This window comes from Homo sapiens, chromosome 19 (genome assembly GCF_000001405.40).
Source record: "Homo sapiens chromosome 19, GRCh38.p14 Primary Assembly".
NCBI lineage: Eukaryota > Metazoa > Chordata > Mammalia > Primates > Hominidae > Homo > Homo sapiens.
In genome coordinates, this window is record NC_000019.10 from 57,949,542 (window position 1) to 57,956,578 (window position 7,037).

Below are 7,037 nucleotides of genomic sequence, written 5' to 3' on the forward strand. Positions count from 1 at the left end.
GCACAGGCGCCGGCTCCTTGCAAGTCTGCGACTGGACCAGACATACTGCAGGCGGCTTCTGCTGCAGGCACCAGCATCTAGACGAGGGAAAAATGGTGGCGCCGGAAAGCTCGGAGACACCAAGAACAGCAGAACCCCAAAGAGGGTGTTGCAGCATGTCACAGCCCTGGCTCCGGAGTCTCGAGGCCTGGGCTCCCGGAAGAGCCACAGCTCTTCTCTCCTTCCCGTTGCTTGCAGCCTGGCAAGCGGGGAGGTGTGTTTTGGGTGGGGTGTGTTTTCAGCTTGTTTGTGATATAGCTCTTTCAGTCCCGCTGCCCTGCTCTGGCTCGCTGCTGCTTCCCATCGTGGGGGGCGGCCACCCAGTGCTGGCTGAGGGCAGGAGGGCTATAGTGTTACAGCTCTGGCTCGGGGAATCCCAAAGTCTGGGCCTCCAGAAGAGTCGCCATTTTTCACTCATGCAGCCCAGAAGCATGGCTACTCAGCCAGGAATGTGTTACAGCCCCTTTCTCTCCTGCTGTTCGTTAGGTCCCAAGTTCTTGTCCCCCAAGTTCTTATCCCACGTCCAGGAAGAATGAGGTTATGCAGACAACTGGAGGGTGAGCAAGGCAGAGAAGGGTTTTATTGGACAACCCAACAGCCCTCAGGAAACCTGAAGGGAGTAGCTCACACCTGCATACAGATAGTCTCCGATGTCTGAGTCTGGCTGAGTCTACAGGTTTTTTATGGGCTCAGAATGGAGAAAGTGTGTGCTCATTGGTCCATGGGTGGTAGGAAGTGCATGCTGATTGGCCCATGGGCAGTCATGGGCGGGCCTGGGAAAAACACCATACCATTGGCCGAAAGGCGTCAAGGAATTTCTCTCTCTGGGTCACAGACTCCACCTGGAACTGGCAGCGTGGCCTCCAGGCTTCAGGCCATTCGTGGCTTGAAGGTGGGGTTTCACAGAAAACCCACCCCTTCCCACGTAGGAACCTGTCTGCCTTTCATGGCCATCAACATGCTGTCCATGACGCCCAGGCTGTCCATGCTGAAGGTTGCCCGCAGGCCTGCCCCGAGCCACTCTCAGCCGCCCCCCTCCCACCACCCGGCCTCCTTCCCATGCTTCTTGGTGCCCAAAGTTTCAGCCTCAAAAGCAGTTTCTGGAGGAAATCGAGATGGTGGGGGGCTGGCATGTCGTCACTGCCCCGAGGGCACACACATTTGGCTGGGTTGTGATAGCGCCCAGGTTTGGCTATCTTGACATGTCCACAACTTTGCTCTGCCGTGGAGCAGGTGCTGAGAGTGGGGAGAGGCCAGGGAGTGGGAGCAGGCACTTCTGGGCCTGTGGGAAAAGGGTGCTTCCCAGGTCCCCAAGAGTGCAGGGATGCCCTGTCTGGAGCCACGACTAGGTGGCTGCAGCTGCGCCTGGGAGCACAGGGCTCCCGTCCTGACAACTCGGTATGGCTCGAGGCTCCCACTGGGATCACCTGTTCCCAGTCCCCGTGGGCTCCACGGAGCATGCAGCCCTGGCCGTGCCTCCCCATTTGCAGCCGGCATCATCACAGCGGCCCCTCCAGATCAGCCACTGCTGCCATTATAATGACTATGTAGTCATTCAAAAATGGTGGCAGAATCGTGTTTGGGAAATATCGGATGGTGAAAAAAGTGAAGGTCTCACAGAACTCTTTTGTTTTGGTTTTTGTTTGTTTTTTGAGACGGAGTTTCGCTCAAAACGGAGTTTTTGAGTCCAAGGATGTGAACTTGGACTGGGAGGTGTGCAGGAGGGGTGCTGAGTACTAGGTCTGCGTGTCTTGTTCTGGTGGCTGTCTCAAGCCATGGTCCACCTGGAGTGTGGGCTAGCTGCATCTCAGTAATGGCCTGGTGGTTGACTAACTGCCTTGAAGTAATCTCTGGAATTTTGCAGATAGGTCCCTATGCCTACCAAGTCTGTCTCAAGATTATCCCCAGGAACTTCTAAGTAAGCACATAATTAGATACTAGCATACAATTAGACAAATGTGCATGGTCTAAGGGAGTGTATGGTGAGAAGCGGTGGACATGGTATTTCAAAGAAAGTACATTTCAAGGCTGTATTTTAAGACTAATGAGAAGAAAAGATTCTGCAGTAAGGTTCAAGGTTATATCACAAGACTAGGGAAAAATGAGAAAAAGGAAAAAAACTTTTTCAGGCCAGGCTGTTCAGTTACAAAACTAGTTTTAGAGTTGCAGTGTGTCCTGTCAGCAGCCATTAAATAAAACTTGTTTCAAGTTACAGCAGGGAGTTTCAGCAGCCAGGCTTCTGGAGAATTACATTTTTGGATCAGGGTTATATGCCCTGAGTGCTTTTTTTCCCACAGCTCTTTCAACTCTGTTTTAGGTGGGTATGACAAGAATGACCCAATTCATATGATCAACTTTCACACAATTAATAGGGATCCCTTCTAAATTTGCTAAATCTGCAGGATTTTTGAGTTTCGACTGGGGGGAAAACCCACCAAATCTCAAATCAATACATGTTTATTTTCCTAATACAAAACAAAATGTTGTTTTCTATTATTTATGTACTATCATAAAGTAGGATGTGAAAAATCTTTGTCAGAGACATGGAGGAAATTTCAATGTGTATTAATAAGCAAAGAAGCCATTCTGAAAAGGCTACATAGTGTGATTCCAGCTCTATGACTTTCTTTTCTTTTCATTCTTTTTTTTTTTTTTTTTTTTTTTTGAGACAGGGTCTCACTCTGTCACCCAGGCTGGAGTGCAGTGGTGCAGTCAAAGCTCAGTACAACCTCAACCACCTGAGCTCAAGCGATCCTTCCATCTCAGCCTCCAGAGTAGCTGGGACTACAGGTGCACACTATGCCTGGCTAAGTTTTGTATTTTTTTTGTAGAGATGGGGGTCTATGTTGCCCAGGCTGGTCTCAAACTCCTGAGTTCAAGTGATCTGCCCACCTCAGCCTCCCAAAGTGCTGGGATTACAGGTGTGAGCCACTGTGCCTGACCAAGCAGGTGTATTAGTTTTCTACTCTTGTGTAATAAGTTACCGCAAAGCTATTGGTTTAAAACAATACCCACTTATTATCTCACAATTGCCTAAAGATAGCTTAGCCGAGTATCTTGGTCTTCTGAGAGCCTGACTCTCACAAGGCTATAATCAAGGTGTTGACCAAGCCTGCAATTTCTTCCAAGGCTCGGAGCCTTCTTTCAAACTCACATAGTTGTTGGCAAAATTCAGTGTCTTGTTGCAAGAATAAGGTTCCTGCTTTTTTTTTTTTTTTTTTTTGAGATGGAGTTTTGCTCTTGTTGCCCAGGCTGGAGTGCAATGGGGCGATCTCTGCTCACTGCAACCTCCGCCTCCTGGGTTCAAGACATTCTCCTGCTTCAGCCTCCTGAGTAGCTGGGATTACAGGCATGCACCACCAAGCCTGGCTAATTTTTGTGTTTTTAATAGAGATGGGGTTCCTCAGTGTTGGTCAGGCTGGTCTCAAACTCCTGACCTCGTGATCCGCCCGCCTCAGCCTTCCAAAGTGCTGGGATCACAGGCGTGAGCCACTGTGCCCGGCCGTCTTGTTTTATTTTAATGGCTGATCTATGTAATCACGGAGGCCAGTATGTACAGACAAGAAAGGGGGAGCTTTTATTGCTTCTCTCTTCCTCCTTGGACAAAGTCTTGATATCACCTCCTTCTTGGCCTGAGTGTACTCTTCAGCCACTTGTGTGCTTGCTTGTTCTCAGACCTGTGGGCCTCAGCCTGGGCAGCCAGGAGCTTCTTTTGGGCCTTTTCTGCCTTCAGCTCGTGGACGTGCTCCATGAGGATGTGCTCCATGAGAATCTGCTTGTTTTGAACACATTTGCTTTCACCTTCAGGTACAAGCTGGGATACATTTGGTGGTCAATCTTCTTAACTTCATGGGATCTTCTGAGCAGCCCGTGCAGAATCCTCATTCTCCTCATCCAAGTTACCTTCTCTGGCATTCAGGCATTGGCCATACCCTTTAGCTTACCTATGTCCATGTACTCACCCTTCCAGCAGGCCAAGGCATTTTTCCAGCATCGAGCCCGGAAATGGACAGTCACAGGCTTGTGGATGTTCAGCCTATCTTTGATCAGCTTCTGGATCTGCTGATGGGAGGTGGCATTGGTGATTTCACTGGTCTCCTTGGAGTGCAATTAGACCTTCTCCTTGCCACAGCAAAGGACATGAGAGGTGAGCCTCTTCTGAAGCCTGCGCATACTCATGGCTTCGGCTGCAGCAGCAGCTAAAGGAAAGAGCTCTGAGGTTCCCAGTTTCTTGTCGGCTGTTGCTGGGGGCCATCTCAACTGCTAGGGGCCCGTGGCGTGGCCCTCTCACAGCAGGAGGATCTCGCTCCCGTGTGCTGAGGCAGTCTTATAGAACAGTGAAGGGGGGGAGTATCTTATTGCCTTGGCCTAATCACAAGAGTGACGTCTGTCAGATTCACAGCCCCCACTCAATGGAAGGAAATTAGGCAACTGAGTGCACTGAGGGGTGAGAATCTTGGGGCCATCTTATAATTCTGCCTCCCATTGCAGTTTTTGCTAATAGACATCTGCCCACGAAGATCCATGTTCTTCCCTTCCTTGTTCACTTGATATTTGCTACAAAGCAGCCCAGTCTGTCCACGCTGGAGGCTAGGTATGGCATGGCATGTTCCCAGCAGAACTAGAACTGGAGCATGAACCATGCTGGCTACCACTGCCTGGAGGACCATGCACAGTCTATAGTCCCTGGTGGATTCCAGAGCCACCAAGGCATGCAGGAGGCTCCTCCCTGTCTTCCCTCTCTCTGGGCTGCTCATCTGGAACTCCTGAGCTCAGGTGATCCGCCCACCTCTGCCTCCCAAAGTGCTGGGATTACAGGCATGAGCCACCATGCCCAGCCTGGGCACCTCATCTGATTTAGGACCCTGGAATAGAATTGCTCTGAGAATTATCAATGAAGGAATAGATTTTACCCCTGCATCTGCTGGTTCCATTGCCCCTCATCCGGCTCCCAGGAAAGCTTTGAATTGTGGGCAAAACCAGGTGGCACTGGCAGAGACATTCTTGGGGTTGGTGTCTCCCCTAAAACACACTGTGCCTTCTAGAGAGGTTCCCTAGAAGTCGCGATCTTTGCTGAGAAATATCCACACATGCTTTGCCACATTGTCAATCATAGGAACATGCTGCCCAACAAATATTTGTGGCATAGTAAAATGTTTTTAAAAGCAGTTGCTATGGATTGAACGTATCCCCCCCCAACTCCCCGCCATCAATTCATGTGTCCTGATGTGATGGTATTTAGAAACAGGCCTTCTGGAGGTGATTAGGTCATGAGGATAGAGCCCTCATGCATGGGATTAGTGCCCTTACAAGACGAGACAGAAAAGAGCTTCCTCTCTCTCTCAGGAATAATGGTGCTCAGGAGAACCCAGCCATACTGGCACCCTGATCCTAGACTTACAACTCCCAGAACTGTCGGAAATACATGTTTGTTGTTTAGGCCACACAATCTGTGGCAGACAAGCTAACTAAAACTGCAGTCTTGCAGGCTAGTGTCTCCCTAGTTAGGATTTGATCTCAGAGCCTCAAGGGCTGGGCATGGCTCTTGCCTCAAGGATTGAAGTTGCAGGGAGGGACATGGAGGCCTGTCCAGGACCTGGGAGTTGTGCCTTGGTACAGTGCCCTGGCCGCTCTGTCCTGTGCCCCCGGGGCTGCCCATCCCATGTGTGATTCCTACTGGCTGCACTGTGCAGGCAGGACCAAGCTGTCGGCTTGAGAAATGCTTTGCACTGTCCCAATTTCTAATATACACACTGACTTTTGCCTTCTCACATTGTCTGTTCTAATTTTTAAAATTTAATTTAGGAAAGATGGAAACTGAAAGGAAGGGTTAGAAGACCTGAGTCTGAGTTCAGTTCATCCTCAACATAGACTAATTTTTTTGTGGTTTTTTTTTTGTTTTTTTTTTTGAGACGGAGTCTCACTCTGTCACCAGGCTGGAGTGCAGTGGCTCGATCTCGGCTCACTGTAATCTCTGCCTCCCGGGTTCAAGCGATTCTCCTGCCTCAGCCTCCTGAGTAGCTGGGACTACAGGTGCCCACCACCACGCCCAGCTAATTTTTTGTATTTTTAGTAGCGACAGGGTTTCACCATGTTGGCCAGGATGGTCTCGATTTCCTGACCTCGTGATCCACCCTCTTCAGCCTCCCAAAGTGCTGGGATTACAAGCGTGAGTTACCATGCCCGGCCCAGGCTAATGTTTTTTTTTTAACAGCTTGACTGAGATTTATTTCATTTAGTGCAAAGTTCACTCTTTTAAAGTATGCAGTTCAGGCCAGGAGTGGTGGCTCACATCTGTAATCCCAGCACTTTGGGAGGCTGAGGTGGGCAGATCACTTGAGGTCAGGAGTTCAAGACCAGACTGGCCAATGTGGTGAAACCCTGTCTCCACTAAAAATATAAAAATTAGCTGGGCCTGGTGGTGGATGCCTGTAATCCCAGCTACTTGGGAGGCTGAGGCAGGAGAATTGCTTGAACCTGGAAGGCAGAGGGCCAGGCATCGTGGCTCACGCCTGTAATCCCAGCACTTTGGGAGGCTGAGGTGGGAGGATCATGAGGTCAGGAGATCGAGACCATCCTGGCGAACACGATGAAACCCCATCTCTACTAAAAATACAAAAGAATTAGCCAGGCATGGTGGCAGGCGCCAGTAGTCCCAGCTACTCAGGAGGCTGAGGCAGGAGAATGGTGTGAACCCGGGAGGCGGAGCTTGCAGTGAGCTGAGATCGCGCCACTGCACTCCAGCCTGGGCAACAGAGCGAGACTCCGTCTCAAAAAAAACCAAAAAAACAGAACCTGGAAGGCAGAGGTTGCAGTGAGTCGAGATCGTGCCACTGCACTCCAGCCTGGGTGACAGAGTGAGGGAGACTCTGTCTCAAAAAAATAAAAAATAATAAAATATGCAATTTAGTGCTTTTTGTATATTCACAAAGTTTACAACCATCACCACTATCAAATTTTCTAACATTTTCTTTTTTCTTTTCTTCTTTTTTTTTTTT

The 7,037-nt window shown here is 49.6% G+C and overlaps 1 pseudogene, besides 1 other annotated feature; it reads right to left on the bottom strand.

The window, feature by feature from the left end:
* RPL19P19 (ribosomal protein L19 pseudogene 19) lies at positions 3,546–4,254 on the bottom strand (annotated as a pseudogene).
* Positions 5,411–5,578: a silencer, noted in NCBI's record as "fragment chr19:58466320-58466487 (GRCh37/hg19 assembly coordinates)". NCBI's record gives its function as "represses an EF-1alpha promoter that drives an FKBP-Casp9 reporter gene in an ReSE screen in HepG2 liver carcinoma cells {active_cell/tissue: HepG2}" and the evidence as "EXISTENCE:reporter gene assay evidence [ECO:0000049][PMID:32094911]".